This window comes from Homo sapiens, chromosome 2, assembly GCF_000001405.40.
Source record: "Homo sapiens chromosome 2, GRCh38.p14 Primary Assembly".
NCBI classification, from domain to species: Eukaryota; Metazoa; Chordata; class Mammalia; order Primates; family Hominidae; genus Homo; species Homo sapiens.
In genome coordinates this window covers 237,856,892-237,883,597 of record NC_000002.12, presented here as the reverse complement: position 1 = coordinate 237,883,597, position 26,706 = coordinate 237,856,892, and the positions used below count along the sequence as shown (strand labels likewise).

The 26,706-nt window shown below is 54.2% G+C and overlaps 1 protein-coding gene and 1 non-coding gene across 6 annotated transcripts in view, besides 3 other annotated features; both read right to left on the bottom strand.

The window, feature by feature from the left end:
• The window catches only part of RAMP1 (receptor activity modifying protein 1), a 53,227-nt gene extending 28,509 nt beyond the window's left edge, over positions 1-24,718 (bottom strand). The window contains exons 1-3 of one of the 5 annotated variants that reach the window (NM_001308353.2): positions 23,871-23,975; positions 8,893-8,953; positions 6,236-6,374 (exon numbers count right to left, since the gene is read on the bottom strand). In NM_001308353.2, the coding sequence (NP_001295282.1) occupies positions 6,236-6,360 (125 nt within the window). In that variant the 5' untranslated portion in view covers positions 6,361-6,374; positions 8,893-8,953; positions 23,871-23,975. Of the gene's footprint in view, positions 1-6,235; positions 6,375-8,892; positions 8,954-23,390; positions 23,702-23,870; positions 23,976-24,470 lie in introns of those variants that run through there. The other 4 variants (XM_017003153.3, NM_005855.4, XM_017003152.3 and 1 more) reach the window with 4 other exon arrangements.
• Positions 464-965: an enhancer, noted in NCBI's record as "H3K4me1 hESC enhancer chr2:238791275-238791776 (GRCh37/hg19 assembly coordinates)". NCBI's record gives its function as "activates a minimal SCP1, AML or CMV promoter by ChIP-STARR-seq in naive H9 embryonic stem cells {active_cell/tissue: H9 hESC(naive)}" and the evidence as "EXISTENCE:reporter gene assay evidence [ECO:0000049][PMID:30033119]".
• LOC124900521 (small nucleolar RNA SNORD55/SNORD39) lies at positions 13,616-13,694 on the bottom strand. Its single transcript, XR_007088712.1, has one exon. It is a non-coding gene; the product is annotated as a small nucleolar RNA SNORD55/SNORD39 (small nucleolar RNA).
• Positions 24,588-25,374: an enhancer, noted in NCBI's record as "H3K4me1 hESC enhancer chr2:238766867-238767653 (GRCh37/hg19 assembly coordinates)". NCBI's record gives its function as "activates a minimal SCP1, AML or CMV promoter by ChIP-STARR-seq in primed H9 embryonic stem cells {active_cell/tissue: H9 hESC(primed)}" and the evidence as "EXISTENCE:reporter gene assay evidence [ECO:0000049][PMID:30033119]".
• Positions 25,375-26,163: an enhancer, noted in NCBI's record as "H3K4me1 hESC enhancer chr2:238766078-238766866 (GRCh37/hg19 assembly coordinates)". NCBI's record gives its function as "activates a minimal SCP1, AML or CMV promoter by ChIP-STARR-seq in naive H9 embryonic stem cells {active_cell/tissue: H9 hESC(naive)}" and the evidence as "EXISTENCE:reporter gene assay evidence [ECO:0000049][PMID:30033119]".

The following is a 26,706-nucleotide window of genomic DNA, read 5'->3' as shown; positions in this document are numbered from 1 at the left end:
GTAATTCTTCTGCCTTGGCCTCCCAAAGTGTTGGGATTACAGGCGAAAGCCACTGCACCAGGCCATGAGGAGTCTTCCATTCACTTTTTACTTCTATTCAACGTCCTGAGTAAAGCAGGGATCACGGGGGGCCTCCTTCCCATCTGCTTTGATAGAGGAAGCAAGACTTCTGGGCCGGCACTAGGAGCTGGCACGAGCATGTCTCAGCCCCCACTTACTCCTGTGTGTGTATCCCATAAAAGGCTGGCCGGCCGCCTTTGTCTACGTCGCTCATAGGAAGGTGAGTCCCCTTTGACACGCAGCTGTTGTTAAATGAGACCTCTGATTTCAGAAGAGTCTGGAAGCTTCCCTCTGCCATATACCAAGATACCTGCAGGCCCAGCCCAGGGCCCTGGGACAGCTATGACCTTGGGCGGCAGCAGGCATGTGGCAGCTCTGGCCCAGAGGCTCCTGCCTTCAGAATCCCCTGGCCTCCATGCCAGCCTGGTTTTGGATACCAGACCCCAATAATTGCCTGGTTCTGCTTGCTTGGCTTCTGCCCCAGCTGCCAAGCCTCAACTGCACTTGGCTCAGAGACGGGCCTTTCCCAGAGCCTGTGTCCCCCATCAGGTCACCTGCCTGGCTCACAGTCCTTGAGACCAGCTGGGACCCTGCTTGGGCTGGGAGCATTCCCTGAGGCCAGCCACCTGGCTGTCTGGCTGCCTGCCGGTCAGCCTCACTTTGGGGTCCCGCTCATCCAACAGACACAGTGCCACCTGCCCACACCTGGTGATGGCCTGCCTGCAGGCAGCCTAGCGCCTCTCACCCTATTTGTGCCTTCGTGTTCTCTCCAGGGCCCTCTTCCCCTCCACTAGTTACTTGGACAAACTTGCCCACCCTAGAACCCCAGGCCCTCGCTGCTACTGGAGACCCTTGGAAGGCTGCCCTTGGCCCACTGCCAGGCTTGGTGTCTCAATGCGATGGACCTCACCAGGTTGGTAGGGACATCGCCAGGACGGAGGCAGCACCTGAAGGCTTGCATCCCCATCTCAGGAGGCCACAGTTATATGGAGGCAGGGCATCCCTCCACCTCCGCCGGGAACCAGGAGGGAGCCATGGGTACCAGCTGTGCGAGCCTGGGCAGGTGAAGCAGCAATCACAACAGCCCCACCTCCGCCAGGCTGCTGCTGACCTCAAAAAGCCAATGTACGTTACGTGCTCGACACAAAGCCCAGCACGCGGTAATAAACGCCAGCTACAGTAAACGCGTTTCTTGGACTAAGTTAAGGGATAATTAGGTAAACATTCAGCAGGCGGTGAGGACCCATTGATAGTTCTGGAGAATAGATCAATATGAGATTCAGGTGAGATGAGGAAGGTTTGGGAAAGGGACGATTTAAGAAGGCACGGGCCAAGTGCACAGGGAAGCTTAGTGCATGACAAAGGTGGCATCTCAGGTCACGGGGAGCAGAGATGGACGTTTGCATAAATGGGACAAGTGGGTAGCGCATCCAGAAAAAGATAACATTTGATTCATAGTTCACACCATACACAAGAATAAACTGGAATAAACTCCGATGGGCCAAGGATTTCGATGGAACCAGTGGGACCACACAGGCTAGAGGAAAACGTGGCAAATCCCTCTTTTCCCTTCATGTGGGGAGGGGCTTTCCACTAGGACTCCAATCCAGAGGCGATCAAAGATGGATGGTTTTGACCACATTAAAAAAATTGTGTGGCAACAAAAACACCAAAAGAAAAAAAAAACAAAGTTGAAAGACAACCAACAAACTAGGAGAAAATCTCTAATGTACACGAGAGACAAAGGCCTAACCCATCTAACATACAAAGAACTCTTTAAAAACGACCTGATAGAAAATAGGAAAAGACACAATTTGCCAAAAAGATAAAAGAACGGCCTGTAAACATACGAAAGATGTTCGGATTCACTCCTAAGTACAGAAATGCAAACTCACATGCTGCTGAGACATCACTTCTCACTTATCAGACAGTAACAACTCTAATGGACGACAACACAGTCTGTTGGTGGGTCTGGGGAAACGGGCACCCCATACGCTGCTGGTGGGAATGCAAACTGGCATCAGCCTTCTGGAGGGACGTTGCAAAACCTAACACATTCCTCCTGCTCTCACCTTTGGTCCTGCGACCCCACTTCTGGGTATCTATTCTGAAGAGTCAGCTCCAGTGCTGGGAAAACACGGATGCGTGAGGCCATCCACGTCGATGCTGAAATGGGAAAATACTGGCCACAACCTAAGTGCCTCTGCTCGCTTGGCTTCTGCCCTGGCTGAAAGGAAAATGGCTGAAAGACTCTGCACGGCGGAGTACTATACAGCTGTAAAAATGAAGGAGGAGGCTCCCTCTGCACTGACAAGGAGAGAGTTCCAGGTTATGTTGTTAAGTGAAGAAAAACCAAAGTACAAAGGAGTGTCACTAGTATACAACCCTTTATATAAGAAAGAAGGGGATGTAAGAAAATGCAGGCATCTGCTCATTTATGCAAAAGATATACAGGAAAGAAAGACCAGAAACTGATGAGGTAAGTTGCCCACAGGAATTGGGTGGGAACAGGGTGAAAGGAATGAGAGAAATGGGCAGGGGCAGGAGGAGGAGGGACAATGCCAGTTGTCTGAACACACCTTTGCGCAGAGACCTCTGCCCCTGGAACCAGTGTGATGATTATAGCTTTATGAGCCAACTTGGCCAGGCTACAGTGCCCAGTTACTCAGTCAAACACTAGTCTAGGGGTCACTGTGGGGGTATTTGGGAGATGTGGTTAACATCTATCATCAGTTGTCTTTAAGTAAAGGGGATAATCCTTGATGCTGGGGGTGGGGCCTCACCCAGCCAATGGTAAGGCCTTACCAGCACGTTCGGAAATTCTGCCTCAAGAATGCTGCGTCGGCTCCCAAGAGTTTCCAGCCTGCTGGCCTGCTGGGCCCTGGGATTGGGCAAGCCAATTTTTTGAAACAATATTGTTTTACCCAGCCTTTCTCGATACCATGGCTTAAATAGGGATTCACCCATGTTTTCTTCTAGCACCTGTATGGTTCCGTGGGTTCCATCTAAATCCCTGGGATGTGTGTACACCCACACATACGCACATATATCTTGGTTTCTAGATACCATTCTCTAACAAAAGGAACCAGTGTTCCTTGGAGAAATGGCTGACTTCAGGGCTGGGGCACAAAATGTCTAAGATAAGCCTGGAACATCTCGTGGTACCAGAAAGAAAGAAAGTGCTCAAAAACAGCCAGGGGCAATGTCGAAAGGACACAGAAGCCAGTGTGAAGGCTCTCCAGTAGCCAAAGCTGGGACCAACCTAAGGGACCTTGTGATAGCACCGGGCCCCGGGATGATCCCGCATCTCCCATCTCAAAGCCACCTGATTAGTGTCACCAATTCTGTCTGTGACTTTATCCCCTTTGCCGTGTGACACATCGACAGTTCCAGGAATTACGCATGGACATCTCTGGGGGGCATCATTCTGCCAAACGCAGACCCCAGGGGCTGGCAGGCCTGGGCTGACGTGCTGAGATGCTGTTGTGATGTGGACTTTTCCTTCTTGGTTCCTAAATTATCTTGATTTTTTTTTTTTTTTTTTTTTTGAGACAAAGTCTCACTCTGTCCCTCAGGCTGGAGTGCAGTGGCGCCATCTCGGCTCACGGCAACCTCCGCCTCCTGGGTTCAAGCAATTCTCCTGCCTCAGCCTCCCGAGTAGCTGGGATTACAGGCGTGTGCTACCACGCCCGGCTAATTTTTATATTTTTAGTAGAGATGGGGTTTCACCATGTTGGCTAGGCTGGTCTGGAACTCCTGACCTCAGTTGATCCACCCGCCTTGACCTCCCAAAGCGTTGGGATCACAGGTGTGAGCCACAGTGCCCGGTCAGATTTTTTTTTTTTTTAATACTTTAAGTTCTAGGGCACATGTGCACAACGTGCAGGTTTGTTACGTATGTATACATGTGCCATATTGGTGTGCTGAACCCATTAAATGACGAGTTAATGGGTGCAGCACACCAATATGGCACATGTATACATACGTAACAAACCTGCACGTTGTGCACATGTGCCCTAGAACTTAAAGTATCATAATAATAATAATAATAAAAAAACGAAAATTCCCAGCAACTCCCCCTCCTTCTAGTTCCAGCTATGGCCACTCGGCTCCGAGGATGGCGAACTCTCTCTGGCCTCAGCGCTAGTTATTCCTCTTTGTGCTCTGGCACTGCAGGAAGCCATCTGTGGTGGCTTCCATTTCTAAGGACACTCCACCATGGCTGCTTGTAGAACACTGTGTGCATTACCCTGCTGTCTTCTGCCAGGCCTCCCGTTCACAATCAATCTACACAAATTAACCATCACTTCCACAAAGCAGGCGGGGGAGAGTGCTTTTCTCCAGGGGCCCCCCATTGTGTCTTCCCTGGATCATAATAAAATGCAATCTTAATTTAAATACAAATGACTCAGCTGTGGCAGAAGGCCAATTAGCCTAAAGAACAGGCTGTTCTGATTTTTAACAACCTCTTCCCACTCAACTCATTTTTCAGCTTAGAAAAGGAGGCCCTGAAATCTTGGAGAGACCTTCAGTACAGTAGAGTGAGGAGACCCTGCTGAGGGCACAGGGCCCCTGGAGACCCCAGAGGGTTGGGGTGGGCTCCCTGGTTCACTGTGTCTTATCAGGGGCCTTTGAGGCTGGAGCCGTGACTTTGGCCCTCCCACCTTCGGGAGCACCAACTCTCCCACCTGAACTGGAGCAGAGGGTACGGAGTTTCTGTTGTTTTAAATCCCAGCATGCACACCTGCATATACCCCATGCTTTCCTACTTTTTAAAAAGTTTGGGCTCCCAAGGTACAGAGTCGCCTCAACAACAGTGCACTGAGCACGGACTCTGGGCCTGAGGGAGTTCCCTGGGGTGGACGAAGTGGGCAGAGAGCACATGGCCGGTGGGAGGAGAAAACAGAGGCCACTCATCTGCCAATCTCAGTAGGACTGAAGAGGGCAGGCTGTGGCCAGCGGGGCTCTGAGGGTAGAGGGAGGCCCAAACCCAGGCTCAGAGGGGCAGTGGGAGCCACCCAGCCTCAGGGCCTCCCAGCCGTGGGCTTTCTCCCTGTGCTCACGCCAGCCTGCAACCCACAGGGGAGGGGTGACGAGTCCAACTAGGGGTCTTCAACCCCACAGAATTGTGCCCGGGTGTGTCTGGACCCTCAGGGGACACCACAGCCACAGGTACTCTTCGTGTGTGACCTTGGTGCAACCTTTCCTCCGTGAAGACCCTCCCGAGGCCCTCCTCCCTGCCCCTGGCCCTCCCCACCAGTCCCCAGGGCTCCCTTTCTCTCAGGCACTGGGGAAAGCGCTTGTCATCGGTGGGGCACCAGGACTTGCGCTGCGCTGTGAACCCACAGACAGATCTCTGTGCGAAGTTTGCATGGCAGGGAGGCGGTGGCCTTCAGCTCCACGCATGCACTGCTGACCCCGCTACTCACCCACTGCAGCCCCAGGACACCCCAGCGCCTCCCACGGAGGCAGAAACAAGGACTTGAAAGTCGATTGCGGACATGCCGAGTTCTGATCGCCGCTCTGGAGGCAGAGGAGCCTGGGCCTGCTGGGGAGAACCCCCCGGCCTGCTGATGGGGGCCCAGCACCCAGGAGGCTGAGGGAGGCAATGAGGGAGCCCCTCAAGCGGGAAGAAGGGCCCTTGGGCAGGAGGATCGGGCCAGGTGGGGAAGGGTTCGGCTGAAGCCGTCCTGCTGGGGGCTGTGGGTGGTGACAGCCTGCTCCATTACCAGAAGCTCTGAGCCCTGGACAGGGTGGGGCCAGGAAGGACAGCTTTGGCCTGACCACAGGGACAGAGGGAATCAGCAGGGACGTCCCTGAAGCCAGGCTCCAGTCAGAGACCCGGCCACCCTGGGCATGAGACCCTACTCTCAGTCATTCCCCAGGCGCCTGCCCTTGGAGAGGCCGCGGGCATCTCTGGCTGGACATGGCCCAGTCTGAACCCTCCATCCCCAGACCAGATTATTGAGGACGTGGCCTCCTCCCACCGTCACTCTTCACGTCCACCTGCTACTGGCTCCCTCCTCTGTCTTCATCCCGGCCCCCCCCACTGGGGGAAGAACCCTTCCGGGGTCTAGAAAGGATCTTCCACAGCTCCCACGTGGTCCACTCCTCCTCCGCTTGCCCCCTCTCCCTCCCCAACCGTGTCCTGCCCACCAGGGGCCATGGGACTCACCTGATGGTCCTGCCCCAGTCACACCACAGCGTCTCCCCGACGGCCTCCATGTCTACCTGGAACTGGGTGAGGCAGAGCTCCCGGAGGAGGGCACCGTAGTTAGCCTCCTGGCAGGCAGTGGTCATGAAGAGGTGATGGGCTGAAATAGACACGGCCATGAAGAGATGGCGGGCGGCAGCAGAGGCCTAGGGGTATCACCGCCAGCCCGCGCGCCCCTGCAGCCCGGACTCCACGAGAACGGGGCCTCTAAGCAACCCCTGGAGAGGGCGACTGTGGCTCCAAGTGGACGCTCTTCATCAATTGTTCTGTGACCTGGCAAAGGCCCTCCCTGCCTGCTAAGGGTGGCTTGGCCCTCAGTGCCCGTGCCAGCTTGGGCCAGGGCACATTCCATCCCACAATTATGCCATCGGGCTGCCCCAGGCATGGGCAGCATGAGAGGGGCCCGGAGACAGTCTCTGGCTGCCCCTGTTCCACGGGTACCTGGGGATGGGCTGGGCTGGGCTGTGCCCCCCAGCCCAGGAGCTGCAGGCACATCTCCTGTCTGACTATCTGCGGGCTATGAACCGAGCTGACAAACGGAAGCATGAACTGTGCTCCCTCCTCCTGCCTCGAGCCATACACCAGAGCAACAGTGACCTGCCCAGCGATGCCCCGCACAGAATCAGGATTGACTAATTTCCCCCGTAGCTCACTGCTGGCTGGGTGGGGGCGGGGGTGGCGGGGAGAGCATGGCCCTTGGTCCCCCACCCACCAGGCTTCTTCTTCCTCCTCAGGCTGAGCCTCTCTTTCTTGGCCACCTCGTAGGGCAGCTGGGGGCAGAAGCTTTGCATTCCCTGTTTAGGGCTTGGCTCCTGGCCCTCCCACTGTCCCCAGGTCCCCCTCCTTTTCCCCCCAGGCCACATCCTCTGCCCAGGGGGGACCCCCAGCCCCACCCCTACCGGCCTGGCCCTTTCAAATTCCTGGAAGGAGCTTGGCACTGGGAGGCCAGAGCTGCCCTGGGAGACGCTGGGGGCACCCAGCCCCTGCAGCCCACCGCCTGGCCCCCTGGGCCTCATGAGTGAGGACATCAAGTTGCCCCTTGCAGCCTCGGGCCCAGGGAGCCCACCCAAGGAGAGGTGGCTGCCCTTGGGCAGGCAGATTGGGCGAGGGGTTCTGGAGTACCAGTCTCCGGCACGTGGCCTGGGGTGGGTGTGAGCTCGAGGGGCCCCTCGGACTGCTGAGTAAAACGCAGAGGAACTGGAGCTGCCCCGATGCGCCGGGCACCCTGGAGCTCTTCACACACAGCCGCCTCAAAGTGGATCTGACTGCGATCAGCAATTTACGGATGGGGGAACTGAGGCTTCAGGGTTCAGAACTCGGCCCCAGGTCCCATGGCCGGAAGTGGTATGGACCAGAGAGCACTTGGCCGCTTCTGGGGCTGTGGGGCTGGGCACCAGATGGGAGGCAGGAAGTACAGGGAATGGCCTGATGTCCCTGGAGGTGCACCTGGGGGAGGGCGAGCAGGTGGCCATGCAGGGGTGGGGTGGGGGTGCTGTTGCAGAGCACCACTCCAGGCCCAATGGCTGGTGTGTCAGGGTGAACGGATCCCACACACTGCACACCTGGGCACTGGCCCAGCCCACAGCTGCTAGAGAGAGCTGAGTGCTGACCAGAGAGGCTGAGCCCTGCACGGGGCTGAGGCCATGAGTGGGTCCCAAAGAGCCAGGTGTGTTGAATCAGGGATGTTTAGCCCAAGAAGCCAGGGAGTGATGTGGGTGCAGTCGGGCCTGCATGGAAGGCTGGGAGTTGGAAAAAGCCCCACGGAGGAGCTCAGGACAGGACCTGCTAGCAAGCGAGACAGAGTCCCCCCACCTCACTCCAGTGGGTCACCCACCCTCGACCCCTGGCATGAGTGCCCAGCATTGGAGTTTGTGGCCACAGAGGGAGCTGCATCTGCCTCTGGGAAGGCTGAGGGCAGAACAGCCTCCTCCGGGCACCCCGGGGACACCTCAGGAGGCTCTGTACCCACCTGAGTCCATGCTGCTTCCCGACAGCACAGGTGTGTCCCCACCATGTCCATACCAGCACTGTGAGTGCACCTTGGGGCTGGCTGGGCCCGCTGTGGATGCACCCCCCACCCTGGGGGCTTCTTTCACCCCCAGTCAGGGCAGCCTTGGGGAAGGGGCTATTTCTGACACCTGCCCCATCAAGATGCCCCCTAGGAAAGCCCACCTACTGTGGACAGTGATGCCCCAGGAGCTCCCAGGGGCTCAGGAGGGCTCAGACACTGACTTGTCAACTCAGGGAAGGAATTCCAGGCTGCCTGTCCAGCTGCAATTGGAGAATCGTCCCTCTGTTTATCCCTCACTGCTCCTGGCATCCCGCCCCCCACTGCCTTTCTCTGGTGAATCCTGGGTCCCAGTCCCACCTGCCCTCCTCCGCTGCCCTGTCCTCCAAGAGGCCCCCGGCTGATCCTACCTATGGGAAGCCTGCCCCCTTACCCTGTCCCCCAGCCCATTTCCTCAGAGCCTCACTCAGGGCTGGTGGAGGGTCTCTTTCTTTTCTCAGAACCCTCTTGGCTGCCCTCTCATCTCCTACTCCTTTCTGACTCACGCTGGCACCCAGCAGCTTTGCACATTCATATTTGTCAAATGAGCCAGCAAATAAGATGGCCATACCCGGATTTCTCAGTGGCCATTCTGCCTGGGAGTGAAGCAAGCGTGCCTCAGGCTATCCTGCCTGGAGTGGAAAGATTGGGTGTCAGGGTCATGAACCACTGCAGACTCCCCTCCTGCTTTGGAAGAGCCGCTTCTAGGACAAATGAAGATGAACAGGCATGTCTGTGCCTCAGTCGGGATCCTTGGCTGCACGCAACAGAAACCAACTGGGGCTGGTGTGAGCAGTGGAGGATCTGGTAAAGGGACCCTGGTGGCTCCCAAGTCCCCAGGAGGGTCTGGGAAGCGGGGTCTGCACAACCGCCCTGCAGAGCCAGTCCCCGTGCGGAGGCCGAGCTGCTCCTTCTGGTGGGGTCTCCAACAAGTGAAGCGAATGCAGGTGCAGGGGCCAGAAACAATGACAGCGGTCCTTTCACCCCAGGCCACAGGGTGGCCCTCCCTGTCAAATTCAGGTCAATCTCCTGCTGTCCCCTGGGCTGTCCAGAGCAGCGGCCTGCCCCCAGCCTACTGGGCCTTCCTCTCCTGCAGCCCAGCCAGTTCTAGCTTCCACCACCCATGCAATCCCCTGTCCGGGTCTGGCTGCAGGGCTGGTCCGGTGGCCTTGACCCTGGCCTGGCTCTGGGCTGGTCCCTCCTGGATGCTGCATCCCCCACCTCTCTTAGAGCCATTCTGCCTCCCAAGGGGCGGGACTGCCATACCCAGCCCATTGTCCCTTGCTCCTTAGGGACAGAGCCCTCCCTGACCAGTGCTGCCCTTTCTTTCCCGCCCTATGGGAGCCCAGAGTCCCACAGCTGGGATGAGGCCAGGGGCAGCTGTTCAGGCAAATCTGGAAACCAGTTTCATTTTTTAGGTACAGGCGAAGAATGCTTGGGTTTTTCTTAAACGAGCCTGATGTGGTTTCTTTCCTTGCAGAGAGAGGTAACATCAAAGTTTTAAAATAGGATAAAATTGCCAAAGTTTTAAAACAAGCCATTCAGGGCCAAATGGGTTCCATTCCTCTGTGTGACTGCAAATGTAATCATTCATAACTCATGTCTTTCAAAAGCCACGTGCAGAGGTTGCTGGGTAGACGGCTGCGCTCCTCACTCAGCCCTCGGCGTGTTAAGACAGGAAACTTCCCTCGAGCTGTGCGTAAGTTAGGAACTCAGTGTTGCTTGAGGGGGTTCAGAGCAACGGCTTCCTTCTCCACAGCAGGACAGCGCCCCTGAAATGAGCATGCATAGCAGGCACCCCAAAGGTGGAGGGCCCCTCAAGCAAAGTGACAGGGTGGGGACAGAAGGACGGGGCAGCCGGGCCCCCCACAGGGGACCCCTGGACACTGCTCATCAGGTGTTTGGGCTTTCTAAGGAGACAAGAGGCACAGAGCTAATGGGTCTCAAACTCAGCAAATGCACTTGATGCCCATGTTTGGTCTGTGCCACATGGGGCAGGAAAGGCCAGTTCTGTAGCTGTGTATTTTAGGTTTGTAGAGAGAGAATCTCAGACCCCATCACTGTCCTCCTCCCAGCTGGAGTGGTGGCTAAACAGAGAGTGCAGGTCAGGTTCTAGGTCAAGTTCATGCAAATTCCTGAAGCCTCCCTGCTCCCCTCCCACCAGCCAGTCCAGGATGCTAGTAGCTGCAGCTCACAGGCCAAGTCCAGGCTTAAGCCCCTTACACCCATTAGCCTGTTTATTTTATTTGATTTTGAGACGGGGTCTTGGTCTGTTGCCCAGGCTGGAGTGCAGCAGCACAATCATGGCTTACTGCAGAGTCTTGACCTCCTTAGGCTTAGGCAATCCTTCCACCTCAGCCTCCCAAGTAGCTGGGACCAGAGGCACATGCCACCACACCCAGCTAATTTTTCTATTTTTTGTAGAGATGGGGTTTCCCCACGTTGTCCAGGCTGGTCTTGAACTCCTGGGCATCGTCCCACCTCAGCGTCCCACAGTGCTGGGATTACAGGCGTGAGCCACAGTGCCTGGCCACCATTAGCCTATTTAATCCTTGCAAATAACCATCATGGCAGGGACAGAGGGGCTCAGACAGGTTAAGTAGCCTGCCTAGAGTCACACAGCCCAGGAGTGGTACAGCCTGGATGCAATCCCTGGCACGCTCATCTCAGAACACGTAGGAGGCATGGTGAGGTCAGAGACCTCTTGTGGAGACCCCAACACCTGCCCCAAAGGCTGTGGGTGACCCATGTCTGTGGAGGCTCTGAGACCCTTGGCCAGGAGCCCCGGCTGCAGATGGGCTTCCTCAGGGTGTCTGCCTCCCTCAGGCTTCCCAGGAGAGGCTTCGGGGGCTCTCACTGGGCACGCGTGAGTCCCACGACCTGGGCAGTCACCTGGCCACCCCACACTAATGCCCAAGAGCACAGGGGCCCTGGGAGAGTGGATGTGTGGCCATCATCACCGTCACTGAGTGGACGACTTTGGCAAAGGGGCATGGACTGGATAGAGCACGAGGTGCCCCCGGCAGCACCAGGGCAGGCCGAGAATAGGCTGCCGAGCCGCCTCTCCTCCCCGTGCCAGGCCCTCCTTGGCTGAGGGGCTGGCATCGTCCATCTAAGCGCAGGCTCGATCCATACTCAATCCTGAAGCCCCCGCTAAGAACCCCTAACATCCTTAAGGCATGGACGATACCATCGCAGGAGGGTGGAAAGATGGTCGTGACTGTAGTAAACTATTCTCAGCATCCCTCCTTTCAAAGAAGCCTATATTTTTTCTCTTCTAAAACACGCCTTTATTGAAGTATAATTTATATACCACAAATTCACCCATTTTACATAGACAATTCAATGATTGTTAGTAAATTCACTAAGGTGTACAACCATCACCGTATCTAGTGGTTTTCTTTCTTCCTTTTTTGGAGACAGGGTCTCACTCTGCTGCCTAGGTTGGAGTGCACTGGCGCTCTCTTGGCTCGCTGCAGCCTTGACTTCCTGGGCTTAAAGAAGCCTATTTTTGCATACATTTTAGAACACATAGCGCAGTGGCACAGGGGTCTAATTTATAAGCAAATCCTGGAGGAGCGTGTCCAGATTATTTTACTGGCGGGGGCAGGACCAAGAGAGTTGGGGACGACTGTCCCAGAGGGTAGAAGTGCCCAGGGCCCAAGGGAGTTGGGGTCGGGGGGCGGTGGAGGAACCCAGAGCTCCCCAGCCCATAGGAACGCCTGCTGCTGCCTCCCTGACATCTAGCTCTCCTGAACAGGGCCCCTTCAGTTGCCACGATCTGTCCCTGGTGGGTTGCGAGGCCTCTGTCCCCGGTGAGCATCTGCTCCCTGCATGGCCTGGTCCGTTTCAGGCATGCGAGTGCCTGCGTGAGGTGTCAACCATGGCCTGGCGTTTCCTGTGTGGCTGGGATATCTCCCCATTGCTTCCCTCCAGGTCAAACTTGACATCCTCTAGAGTGAAAGCACTCAGCTGTCTGAGCTCCTCCTCTCCCTGCCCCTGCTCTGTCTAAAGTCCTGTCTCTCTAGGGGTCAGCTGGCTGAAGCCCCAAGGTGCTCTCCTTTCTCTGGCAAGACCCTCTCATTCCAACTTCTCAAGTCCAGGCTGAGAAACTCCCGCCATCCACTGACACCTCTGAGCAGCCAGTGCAGGGGCGGTTGCGAGAAGAGGAAAGGTCCTCGGGGCCGTGGGCCAGGGCCGGGTTGTTCCTCTCCCACCCACACAGCCGCTTACCCCGCCAAAGCCTCCACCAAGTAGATTCTCCTCCACCTGTCATCTGATTTTGGTCCTCAAAGACAGCAAAGCACTGCATTCCAGCCCACTGTCCCCTCTCTCGGGCTCAGAGCCTCTACCCCCACGAAGTGCCTGCTTTGTGCTGGATGGGGTTGCTGTGCACAGTTCTTTGTCCCTCTCTTGCATCCGTGTTGCTCACTCTTACTGGAAATGCCCAGGCCCTTCCGAGTCCTCACTTGGATAACTGTGGCAGCCTCCAGCCTCACCTCCAACCTTAGGAACCTGGTGGGAGACCCCTGACTGCACACAGTACCCTCCATCCTCCTCCCCAGCCTTGGTCCTGCCCCCGACTGCCATTCAGTAAAACTCTACACATTGTCAACCGGCACTCTTCATTTCTGAAGTTGACAAGCCAAGAAATCCTCATTTTTTTAAGTCATAAAATAAAACACAGGTTGAACTAAAAACTGACTGTCTACCTTCCAAATTACCAGAGAAGAACAAGGAAAATACAGACCTGGAGAAAAAGTCGGAAGCCTCTGTAAGTATTAAGAAACAGAAAATGGAAAATAAGATGTTAGATGAGCTCCAAGCATACTTCTTAAAGCCAGAAAGGCGGGTGAGCAGCACCAGCGCGCCGCATGGGCCAGGCCCTGCTACCGCCCCCACGGAGGCCTGGAGAGTCCTCAGGCAGGGACATGGGTGCTCCCACACCACCCCATCCTGCAGATCAGAGTTGCACAGGACGGGAAATGGCCTGCCCAGGGTCACCAGGCCCTCGGGGCAGGCCCTGGGATTTGGTAAACAACATTAAAATCCACAAGAAAACCAGATGTTAAACCAGGTCAAAGAGCTAAGTGACTCCGGGGAACATCCAAAAGGTGGGTGGCGGGACATGACACAGACAAAAGACTAGACAACGAGAAACCACAATGTTGTCCCCGACAAAGCTGCTGCTGTCCACCTGTGAAGTAACGAATGGCTCCTCAATCCCGTTAGAACGGCTACCATCGAAAACAAAATCACAAGTGTTGCCAAGGCTGTGGAGACGCTTTTTCTTCCCCGGCTCGGCTCTCCAAGGTTGGGTTCCCCACTGCGTGCTGGGGAGCCTGCAGCATGGCAGAGGTGGCCTCACACGGCCCCTGAGAACCAGAGCCTTGTGCACTGCTGGTGGGAACGCACGATGCCACAGCCACTGCGGAAACGCTGTGGCGGCTCCTCAAAACATTAAACACAGAACCACCTAATGATCCGGGGTATATGCCCTGGGTATATGCCCAAAGGAACTGGAAGCAGGGTCTCACAGAGATATCTGAACACCCATGTTCACAGCAGCCTGATTCACAACAGCCAGAAGTGGAAGCAACCCACGTGTCCATGGATGAATGGATAAACACAGTGTGGTCTATCCATAACAGTGGAATATTATTTGGCCTTCAAAAGGAAGGAAATTCTGATTCACACTACGACATGGAAGAACCTTAAGTGAAATGAGCCAGTCACAAATGCTGTATGATTCCACTAATACAGGTTCCTAGAGTAGTCAGAGACAGAAAGTAGAATCGTGGGTCCCAGGGGCTGGGGGAGGTGGTAAATCAGCAGGGGGTTAGTGTTTAACTGGGACAGAGTTTCAGTTTTGCAAAATGAAAAAACTTCTAGGGATGGATAGTGGCGATGGTTGTACAGCAGCGTGAGTGTGCTTAGTGGCATAGAACTGTACACTTAAAAATAGGTAAGATGGTACATTTTATGTGGTGTATACTTTACCGCAATTAAAATTAAAAAAGCAATGACTGGGACAGAGCTATAAGAAGTCACCATGCAGCTGTGACTGGCAGGGTCACATATGGAATTCCCCATCCTCTCCCCTGCGTGAACACGCAGCAACACGTGCCCAGGGAAAGCAGGCAGGATCACAAACGCAGTGCAGGGTTTTCACACAATGCGCATGGATGGAGAAGATGAAAATAGGGATACGGAGGCCCTAAGTATTAAATTTAATATGATGACCGGGATGGATACATAAAAACGCCACACTCCTCCCACGGGCTTACGGGCCATTTACAACACGAAAAATTTGTAAGACCAAGAAAGAACCCGCAATGCACACTAAGTCATGGTTGTGGTTCCCGCTCTGCCCCCGACCACAGTGCAATAAAACTAGCAATGAGTATCGGGAGAGAAACCAAAAAGCCGGAGCCCCTGAGATTTGTAAAAACTTGCTTCCAAACAATTCACGTGCTAAAGAGGAAACAGAAACCACAAATACAGAGAATCCAGAAAATATCAACCATGAGCACAAGGCAGAGGCAAACTCAGGGGATCCAGCCAAGCTGCCAAGCAGAGAACCGATGACGTTTCATTCCCACGCCAGCAAAGAACAAAAAGAAATGCGTTAGGCATTCAAGAAAAAGTGTAGAGTAAGTAAACTCAGGAACTGTTTTTTTTTTTTTGTTTTTTTTTTTTGGTGGGGGGAGGGAATCAGTGGGGAAGAGACCAATCACAGATTAACCACTGTCCATTCTGATCAAGAAATAACATGAAAATACAAATTCACAAAATTGCACTAAAAAGGACAGATGTTCACAGATGTAGAGGGAATTAGAAAAATAATTGTTCACATAATGATATGTGGATAAAATGAACAACTTCAGAGGAAAATGTAAAACAACATCACTGCTACAAGACACAGAAAACCCCAGCCAGGCACAGTGGCTCATGCCTGTAATCCCAGCACTTTGAGAGGCTGAGGTGGGTGGATCACCGAAGGCCAGGAGTTCGAGAGCAGCCTGGCCAACATGGTGAAACCCTATCTCTACTAAAAATACAAAAATTAGCTGGACATGGTGGCAGGCACCAGTAATCCCAGCTACCTGAGAGACTGAGGCAGGAGAATCACTTGAACTTGGGAGGTGGAGGTTGCAGTGAGCTGACATCGCTCCACTGCACTCCAGCCTGGGCGACAGAGCAAGACTCCATCCAAAAAAAAAAAAAAAAGACAGAAAACCCAAGGGGACCAATTAACACCAGAAAGATACTGAAAAGGTTGCCAATTTTCTACACCATGAAAAGGAGCCTGGCCCCGGTGGTTTTGCAGGTGAAAATGAAGACCCTCTAGATCTTCAAGGAACTGCTTATTTCCATCATCCTGACTATCCTAGCACACAGGGAAAGAATAAGGGTCCACAACCTGTATCTTGGGAAGAAAACCCAATGCTGGTAATAAAACTCCCAAGGTAAAGTACAGAGCAAGCTCACTCAGGAAGAACGAAGCCACACTCAGAACAAACAGTGGCCAACAGACACCTGAGACTGCCGAAAGGCTGCACAGGAATGAGGAAACGCTCCATTCATCCCAGAAACACGGTAGGTTCGCAGCCTCTGACCACTTCTCCTGTGTCACAGCCTCGCCAGTGCCAGCGGCCTGCCAGCACTGAGACAATGTCCAGCTGGGCAGGTTGTTGTGTCACATCGAACGGTTCTTCCTTCACAGGACAAAAGCTTACTTTACACACGGGAAGAAGATGCATTCTCCATCCCTCTCCCACCCCCACCCCCACAAAAATACAATAAAAAAGCATCTGGCCCCAAAGGAGAAAGACAGAAGGTTTAAGGTGTTAACTCTTGACCACATGGCTCTGAACTGTGTGGATCACCTACATGAAGCTTTTCTTCTGCCGCTGCCGCCACTGAGACAGCAAGACCAACCCCTCCTCTTGCTCCTCCTTCTTGGCCTCCTCAACATGAAGACCTTAGGATGATCCACTTACACTTAATGAAAAGTATATATATTTTCTGTGGGTTTTTTTGAGATGGGATCTCACTCTATTGCCCACGCTGGATTGCAGTGGTGTGATCTTGGTTCATTGCAACCTCCACCCCCTGGACTCAAGCGATCCTCCCACCTTGGCCTCCCAAAATGCAAGGATTACAGGCGTGAGATACCATGCTGGGTCTAATTTTCTTAATAACACTTTCTTTTCTCTAGCTTACTTCATTATAAGAATACAGTATAGGCTGGGCACAGTGGCTCACGCCTGTAATCCCAGCACTTCGGGAAGCCAAGATGCATGGATCACTTGAGGTTGGGAGTTTGAGACCAGCCTGGCCAAGATAGTGAAACCCCGTCTCTACCAAAAATACAAAAATTTGCCGGGCATGGTAGCGGGCACCTATAATCTGAGCTACTGGGGAGGCTGAGGCAGGAGAAACACTTGAACCCGGGAGTTGGAGGTTGTGGTGAGCCAAGATCGCACCACTGTACTACAGCCTGGGCAAAAGAGGGAGACTCAGTCTCAAAAAAAGAAAAAAAAAAAAGAATACAGTATACATACATGTAACATACAAAATATGGGTTAACTCACAGATAATGTTATCAGTAAGGCCTCTGCTCAATAGTAGGCTGTCGTTAAGCTTTGGGGGAGTCAAGAGCTACACTCGAATTTCTGACCATGTGGGGGTTCGGCGCCCCACCCCTGCGTTGTTCAAGGGTCACTTGTATTGCCATCGCCAGCAGCAAAGGAAGGCAGCTGCTGTCACTCCCCTACTCAGCAGTGAGTCACTCTCCAACACAGTACGACTGGAGAACAAAACAGGGAAAATTGTTAAGAGGTGGTAGGACCACCCTAGGTTACGGGTGACCTTATGACTGGCCTGAAGAACCAAGCAGGAAGCAAAAAAACTAAAATAAAAAACAGGCACAGGGTGACAACAGTCACAAAAGAAACACACAGAAGAGGAGCTTCCTCTTAGCCCAGCGATGACCAGCTAGAAAATAAAATGGGGGAAAATATCCCACTCTCGGTAGTGGCCACAGAGCACCGGATTCCTAGACACTGAATGAGTCATCTGCAGGAGAAATGAGATCTCTGTGGAAGGGCCTGGATGCAGACGTGGGGGTGGAGGAACAGACTGCTGTTTCTCGAGCCGGTGGTCTTGATGTAATCCTCCCTGACCAGTTAATACATTCAGTGCAATTACCATGAAAATCCCCCAAATATTGAGCCATTGATAAAAATTGCTAGGAAATTAAGGTAAATTCCAGATGCATCAAAGGTTTGTGTGTTTAGAACCATAAGGCACTGGAGGAAACCTACACAGGCATGCTCTCTGGTTTCACCTCCTCGCTGCCTCCTAAGGGCAGCTTTCGCCGCTGCCTCTCCTGCAAAGGACCCTGCCATCTGCCTCCCTCCACCACCAATCATGTCAAGGTGCCCAGTGGTGCCTGGGGCCCGTTTCCTTCTCTGTCCTCCCTGGCCGTCCTCTCTGGCCTCTCACAAGGAGCCTGGGCCTGTTTCTACCCACTCTCACCGGTCACCCCTCCAAGCAAGGATTTGACATAGGCCAGGCCCTGCTGCCGCCAGAAACACCTCTCTTGGCCATACCTCTTTCTGAACCCTTGATTTGCATAGACTCCTGTCTACGTACCATCACCCCTCAGAATCCAAGGGGAACGCTGAACCCCATGTGGCTGCTGAGGACGGGGCTGCCAGGTGCAGCAAATGACAGGAGGCCCTGCGAAATCTGCATCTCAGAGAAACGGTGGTTTTTGAGGCATGTTCCCGATACTGTATGAGACAGGCTTATGCTTCTTGTTTATCTGAAATTCCAGTTTGCCTGGGGCTCCCATGTTTCCTGGCAGCCCTGGCTGTGGCCTGGGGTGTCATCTCCCCTCCCCTGCACTCTCCTCTCTACTCCCCTGCCCTCCCCTCCCCTCCTCTCTTCTCCCCTGCCCTCCCCTCCTCTCCTCTCCCCTGCTCTCCCCTCCCCTCCTCTCCTCTCTTCTCCCCTGCCCTGCCCTCCCTACTCCCCCAGGAGCTCTGCCAGGTGCTGTTCTTCATTCCTCAGCGCTGCCTCACTTCCTGCATCCAGGCCCAGGGACTGGAGTCCATCACTTTCGCCTCCAGGACTCCCTGGAACCCTCCCACTCCTATCCTTGCCTGGCCTCCTGCCCATGCTGGGGGCCACAGCTGAGGGCTCCTTTAAACCACACCTTCTGTCCTGTCACCCCCTTTAATGTCCTTCAAGGTTTTCCCACTGCCCTAGGAATGAGATCTGAATGCTTAGAGAATGGGTCTTTCCTCCAGCACCAGCTTCGGCTCAAAGCCCTCTTCCCCACCATGCTTCAGTCAAAAAGGCTTCCAGGAACTTCCAAAGCAGGGCCTTTGCACAACCGTCCTTGCCCTCTGCCCTCTGGACTGTGCTGCCGCTGCTCCTCAGGGCTGTGCTCCGTGGTCTCCTGTTTATTTCCTGCTGCATTTAAGTAGCACCACATGTCTACATGGTTGACATGCAGCAGGGCTGCCCCACCCTGGCACTATGGACATTTGGTGTGGGATCATCCTCTGGGGGAGCTGCCCTGGGTTGTGTAGGACACCCTACTGTAGCAGGCTGCTCTGCACCCCTGTCCTTTGCCCCCTCCGAGTCCTGACCCTGGGTGTCCCACGTGTGTGAGAGTCCTGACCCTGTGTGTCCCGTGTGTGAGGTGGCAGATGGGTGTTTCCAGGAGAAACGGTGCAGCGCTTTCCCGGCATTCCCTCATCCATCCACCTCCCCCGCTTCCCTCTCACAACTGTCTCCTCCAGAGGCAAGAAAATCCCTGCAGAGAGAGCCACCCCGGGTGTCAGTCACCAAGTGTCCATTGAAGAGGCAATGCTTTCTAGGCTTCTTCCCCTCCCGGCCTGGGGCCAGGGTACCTGACAGCGGCAGGCCTTACGAAGCAAACACGCGCATGGTTGGGCAAATCACTGACTTTTCTCCTCCCAGGTGGTGTCAGACTCAAGACAGTCCTTCCTGAGACTCGTGTGGGGATACGTGGTCCGGGAGAACAGGGGGCAGGGCTTCCTGGGCAAGCTGTACCCCACCCCCTGGAGTGAGCTGGCCCAGGCCACGGGCCAGGTCACTCTGCCTCCCCTCCTGCCCCCGTGGTTTCCCAGAACTCTCAGCTAATTCAGGAGCTGCTTCCCCGGAGCCAAGGCCTGGGGGCCTGAACATGGCATGTGTGGGGGTGACACTAACGTACCCTGAGGGTCTGCTGGGGGCACAGAGGAAGACCCCCTGTCCCTGGGGTGGTGGGTGGGGTGGGGGTTCTGGGAGGCTGGGCAGTTGTCCCCGTGAGGGGTGGAGGTGGTGCTGACCCTGGCGGAGGGCACAGTGGACAGCCGGGGCCTGGGGTTTTGGGATTCTGGTTCTCGGTCCCAGAGAATCCACCATGTGACTGCACATGGGAGGGAGTGAAGCACTCTCGGAGCACGGGGAGGAGTCACCGAGAGAGCTGAGAACGTAGAGTCGGGGGGCCTGTGACTCAGGCCCATAGCCCTGCACTCCTGCCACATCTGGCTAGTGTGTCCCCCTGGACCCTGCTCCAACAAAGCCACCCAGAAGCCGTGATTTAAAAGATGGTTAAAGTGATGCCTTTCGGATGCCCCAGAAATTACTGAAATAAACCATCTTAGGAAAAAAATATTTTTCCTGAACAGAATAACATCATTCGGTGAAGTGAGTACGATTTTGTTTGGGCTGGGAGCCCTCCTATGGTGGCCGTGTTGACGCATCCTCCTCACTAAGGAGAAACAGGTCCTCCAGGAACATCACCCAGCTGAGAGTCCTCCTGTTCTGGAGCAGAGAGGACTGGGGACAAGGACATCCCTCCAGGGCTTCATATGTCTGCTGTGGGATGTGTCAGAGGTAGGCAGGGGGTATGGCAGGCTGGGAACTGAACAGTGCCCTGGCAGCACCGTCTCTGCCTCTTCATTTGCCACCAAGAAACTGGTGGGCTGGGGCAGTGGGCACATGGTCCAGCAAGTGCTGGAGCCACCAGGGCCACTGTAGCCCGGGCTCCCCTGTCCCCTTCCCAGCTCCCACTGTCTTCCTGGCTGCAGCACCTCTTCTTTCAGGAGGCCTCCCTGGGTCCCCAGTGGAGGAGGAGGCTCTTGGGCAGGATTCCCACAGTCCCCCAGGTACGCCATTCTCGGAGCCCCCTGAGCCTGCCGTCCCTGCAAGGGACAGACACCCATCTCAAACGTTATGGGTCACATGATGGAAATGTGTACCCCATGAGCTCGATCTAGGGGCTCAAAAGGCTTCAGGAGTGCTCTATGTCATGGACAGGTACTCCCCCATGGCTCACAGGGTAGACTGTGGCAGCCCCACTCAGATCCAGCCTGGAGGAAAGACGCAGCTTTTCCCCGTGGTTCCAGCAGAACACTGACTGTCCAGCCTGCGGCCAGTCTCCTCCCTGGGACCATCTGGATGGCCAGGCCTGGCTCAGAGACCACTGAGGGCCAGCCCACCATACCACAAAGACCGTCAGGAAAGAGGGGTTCTAGGCCTGAGTTGGGGGTGGGGGCACTGGCAGGGGCACTGGCAGGCAAGCCCGAGGGGCTTCACTCTCTGGGCTCAGCATTTCCGCTGGAATTCACACTACACATGGCACCTGCATCACACAGTCAGCCAGACGCCAGTTGTAACTGATTAGAAGCTATGAAATGGGCGCATTCTGGGGAAAAAAATCAGGACAGACTTTTCCAACTAGCCTTAACTAAAGATTCCACCTAAAACATTTCCCGGAGCTGAATCTACCATTTGCACTGTGGATATAAATGTTTCTCAACAGCCCTGGCCTCGGACTGGTAATAAGCACGCTGACAGGCATGCGCCTGTGGAAGGAAGACAAAAATCCAGAAATTTCTTCCTGCAGCTAGACACACAGAGAGGGTAAACAAACACACTGAGTTGATTAACAAATAAGAATCCTTCAGATTTGGACTTTGGCATGAGAACTGTGTCCAGATTTAAAACCGCATGGCAATCTGAAGCAGTCACATAGCATTTCCTGTGATGTCCCTGTCATTCCAATTCTACTTGTATTTATATAAAGTCATACATTTCAATTAATGTTGCAGCCATTAAAAAAACCCCTGGCTCCCACGTGACAGCCAAGGAAGGCATGCGTTTCCTAGGACAGGTGACTGAGTTCATGTGTGACAGCACCAGCCAGCATTCCCTGAGTGAAGATGGACTCGAAAAACCAGGGGCTTCTAACGCATCCTTCTTTCCTGGTTAACGAACAGCTTTTCGGTGTCTATACACAAACTTTTCAGAATGCATGTAGAGTCTCCAGTAAACAGAAGAGTACACAGGATGCTCAGAGGGAAAAGAACTATATATGGATCCTAAGTTTTTTTTTTTTTTGAGACGGAGTTTCACTCTTATCACCCAGGCTGGAGTGCAGTGGCATGATCTCAGCTCACTGCAACCTCTGCCTTCTGAGTTCAAGCGATTCTCCTGCCTCAGCCTCCCAAGTAGCCGGGATTATAGGTGCCTGCCACCATGCCTGCCTAATTTTTTTTGTATTTTTAGTAGAGACGGGGTTTCACCATGTTGGCCAGGCTGGTCTTGAATTCCTCACCTCAGGCGATTCACCCACCTCAGCCTCCCAAAGTGCTGGGATTACAGGCGTGAGTCACCATGCCTGGCCGGATTATGAGATTCTTAATAACTACCTAAGACAAATAGCTTGATTGTAAAATTGTCACAGATAAGTTCTTAAACCTGTAAACTAGAGTACTTAAAAAAATTCCACATTGCCATTCTTGGTAGCAAAATCTTCATCACCAAGGAGACCTGGCTAGTGCTACAGCTTGGGAAGGAAACAGCCTGTGCTCAGTAATTCTACTAATTACAGCTGGGCTCCAATGACATTAATTTACTGATAACCTCATAAAGTTTTGTTTGTTCTTCCAAGAGATAACATTAGCCAGGCCACTCAAAATAACGTTAAAATTACAGGACTTTGGACTTTCGGCAGAACATGAATAGTTTTCTCGGTAAACAAGGAAGGTCTTTATATGTGATCGTGACATAGTGTTTTATTTACACAAGCTTTAGAGGGTTCAGCCTCTGGACACTAGTAAAGAACGTTTATTTATTTGGTTATTTATGTAAAAAATATTCCACAACCCAGCTCTCTGCCTTGCTAACAAAGAAATGTTTGTTTCTTAGTAAATGAAAACAGTGAAGGCCATGTCAAGCCAAATGGAGAGAATAAAATTACTGCGAGATTCTGCTTTCCACGTAACTTCAGCCAAAACTCTAAAGTGGCAAGATCCGCTTTCAGATTATATTATATCGGCCTCTGAGGATTCTATGCAGATCTGCCACCCCTTGGAGAGGTTTACAAATAGGGAACAGAAATCCATGGCTCCCAAGAAGCCCTGGCCCCTCTCCTCGCTGGGCCACGAACCACTCCCCCAGCTACAACAGCGCCGGTGGTCCCTGCTTGCCCAGTGCCAGCGCCAAAGAGGTCTTGTGCGGCAGGTGCCTCTGACCAACATCACTGTTTCCGGGGAAAGGCCACACATACCAGAAACAACTGCTCCGGCCTTCCCAGGGACACTGGGTTCTCCCACGCCAGTAACCTATTCACAGTTTCCGTTAAAAGGTAGCTAAATACACGGAATAATGCAATAGCCAAAGCGGTTTAGAAGGGGCTTGAGTTAGCATTTTAGGAACACATTACAGACAAGGGAAGTGAACAGCACCGTTTCTTGCCGAGTGTGTGGCCAGTTCCTGTGGCCATGAGGCTGCCGCTAATCTCCACTTCTCCCTCCAAGTGGAAAGCCAAACGTGTTCCACCACTTCACCAAGGGACCCGTCCTTCTTTAAATTTCTATTAGCCAAAAGTGCCAAGTTAACAAGCAAACCAAAAGAAAAAAGAAAAAAAGCGATGGAAGTGTCCCGAAAAGGGCTGGCCTCATTTCTGCAAAAGACGTGATTTGCAAACAAGCAACTGCTGCAGGCGACAGATTGTCAGTGTTGACTAATTTCCATACAAACCGGCTGTGGTTCTGATTCCCGAACACTGCGTCTTCTGCAAGGTGCCCGTCTGCAGGTTTTGCAACGCGGGACGGCCTAGGGAAGGGAGCCTGCGCTGGCAGTCACCGCGGCGCACAGCCTGAGAAACGAGGTGCGGGGCTGGGGAACCCCGCGTCCTGTTTTTCCTTCTGAAAACTAGTTCTCCAGTGTGCAGGGCTGACTCACCCCACGCTTTCCAGAATGCCCGCTCTCCGACGTCCCCAAAGCCGTCCCTTCCCCGGCGAGAAGCGCAACACCGGTCCGCGCCCTCCGCCTCCCCTGTGCCCTGGGGCCTCCCGCCTGGAACCGGGGCGGCCCGCGTTCAAGGGCAGCGGATCTGTGCGCCCGCGGCGCCCGCCCCCACCCGCTCCCACCCGCTCCCACCCGCTCCCCTCCTCTCCCCTAGAGGACACCGGCTGGCCAGGGGAAGGGAGCTCGGCCGGGACCCCTGGACCTACTCACCCAGGAGCAGCCAGAGGCCGCGCCGCGGGAGGCGGCACAGGGCCCGGGCCATGGTGCACAGCGGTGCCGAGTCGAGTCCGCTCGCCACGCGCCCCGCTGAGGACTGAGCCCGCCGCGGCGCGGGCCCGGAGGAGACGCGCCGGGGGCGGGAGCGGGCGCGGGAGCGGTGGGAGGCGGCGGCCGCGCGGCCCGGCCCACTGCGGCTCCCCGCGTGGGTGCCAGGGCCGGGGGCGCCCAGGGCCGGTAAAACTTTGCAGGGGGGCCGCGCGGGCGTCTCCAGGCCCCTCCCGGGGGGCGGCACACTTGGGGTCCCAGGAAGGCCTCCTGAAATGTTCTCCGAGCAAATAAACACTTTTTAAACTAGGGAGGGTCTCCTAGACGACTCAGCGTGAGGGGCACCTTGGTCTCCACCTGGGGATCTTCCCCTCCTCCTCCTCCGAGGTTCTGGGCGTTCCTGCCTGGTGTTTGCCTTGCAAAAGGCTAAGATCTCCCAGCCTTATCTACCTCTCCGCCCAGGTGCAGGCGCTGGGGAGCGTGGGGGGCAAAACTCGCCACCGCGCCTGGCGAGACCCGTAGTAACCCAAAATGGCGCACACTTACCAGGCCCTGGAATGCTGCTCCAGATCTGCAGGATGAGTGGGTGGGCAGAGGCGGGGACAGCACGGCAGGTGAACAGAAGCCGTGGGGCTGGAGGAACAGGGCTCTTTGGGGGGATTGAGATGGCCTGGGAGTCTTGCTGTTGATGGGTAGGTAGCGAGAGCCTGGCAGGAGGTTGTGAGGGCCTGGCCACAGAGTCTTGAGATGAGGTTTGCTTTGGTGGCACTCTGGCAGCTGCATGGAAAACTGATGGGGGATCTTGGGTACATTCGTTTATGTAAAGTGGTGAGAGGAGGGCGCTCTGGAGATGGGCCGGGGAAGCCTGCGGAGGAGCAGGTTTTGGGAGGCACAGGCCTGGCCTCTCGGCATTACTGGTGGCTGGATTTCACTTGCAGTGGTTCCTTCTTGTATTATCCTGTTCCGAGAACTCTTAGCAACAGTAAATTTATACTTGTGCTAAGGAATGCACCACTGCCCTTGGAGGGGGAAGAATCACCACCCTGGTGCTGCGGCCACAGCTGTCTCTTTTGTGGTGGAAGCTGCAAGCGCACAGCATTGCTGAGTGACCATCGTTTTCTCCTAGGAAAGGGAACAGTCTGTGGCTGAGAGGCTGCTGCCACCTGCAGTAAGCTCAGAGAAGGGGAGACAGCTGACAGCGAGGTCATCCACTGGTTCTTCTAACACAGGCTGGGAGGGCACTCAGGGCCAGCATGCCTACCACCTGTGCAGGGGCCCCAAGTGTTCTGAGAGTGAGGGGTGAGATGGTGGGGGAGGGCACACATTCTCTTGACTTGATTAGCCCTTGTTCTTGAACCCTAGGAGATACACCCCATTGGGTGGCCTGGCATCCCTACTTTCTTCATTTAACAGACATTTGTGTCCCTATGTGCAAGACACTGTTAGATCGACAAGCCCTGCCCTTCAATTGGTGAATCTAGGGGGTGACCTCTAAGACTCTCAATAACATGAGCGCCACAATACAGGAGCCACCCGGAACAAGGGACACTCGCCTCAGCTGCAGTGCAAGTAAGGAGACAAAGGATTCTGGACAAAATGCAGCCCAGGCAGTCCTGAGGGCTGGGTGGAGAGAAGGGCACAAGGGAAATGCAGGCCCGAGCACAGGCCTGGCAGCCAGAGGCCGTGCCATGTGAGAGCAGCACAGCTAGTGGGGAAGGGTGGCTGCCAGCACAGCCCTGGGACAGGGCCACCGTACATCCTGCACTAGGCGATGGCCAGTCATAGTGGGGGAGAAGAACCTGCATCTTTCTGCAGCCATCACTCGCCCTCCATATCCAGGGACTCTGGCTTGAGCCACCCTTTCTACTTGTAGCTTGTGGACTTTGGCTGCATGTTTTTGGTTGGCAACTGGGACTCCTCTTTCATCAGGCTCAGCAGGAGTCTTTCTTCCCAACGTTTTCTCTTTGAAGCTTGACTGCAAGGAGGCAAGGCCAGAGGCCCCTGTCACTGCTGTTTTCTCAACACCCCCTAAAGGATACATTTTCCTAAGAAGACAAAGCCTATTTCTCAAGTTCACATGCTTTAGAAATTCACAGTTCTCTGGAGAATGCTGAAGTAAGGCACACACCTAGAGGCATGTTCTCTCCTAATGATTTTCCTGTCTGTACCTTGGGTCTAAGTAAGACATTCCTTAGCAACTACTATGGGCTTCCCGTCTTCAAAAGTTGTAGTCTGATGTATCTGTATTTCTAATTGGTCATAGGTAGCATGGAAAATCATTCCTCTCCCAGGGTACCTCAATCTAGAGGGGCATTAGGTTAAACAATAGAAGAGATTAGAAAATGGCCAAGTGCTTTACTGCATACACAGTAGGGCTAAAGATACAATCAAAGCCTGGTCAACACTGCTAAAAATTCACTATTAACATAAGATTCCTGCTTCCAGCCGAGATGAAGTTACAGGGACTGGACTCACCTTCCCATCTTAAACTAAAAAACTGGACAAAATGTATGAAACAACAGTTGTCACAGTGGACCACAAGAAGTGCAGGGACCCCTGAGAGCAGGGAAACAAATAAGGTGAGTGCTACAACTGCTCACTGCCTGGAGTTTGCAGACCACAGATGGAGAAAGGAAACCCAAAGAGAGTCTGGGGAAGCCAGGCAGTTAACGCTGGCAGGGCATAGTACCAGAGAGGAAAGAGCTGCGCAAAGAATGCGCTTGCGAGATCACAGAGGGTCCCACTTGAGTCTCAGCCCACACATCTAAGGACACTACCCAAG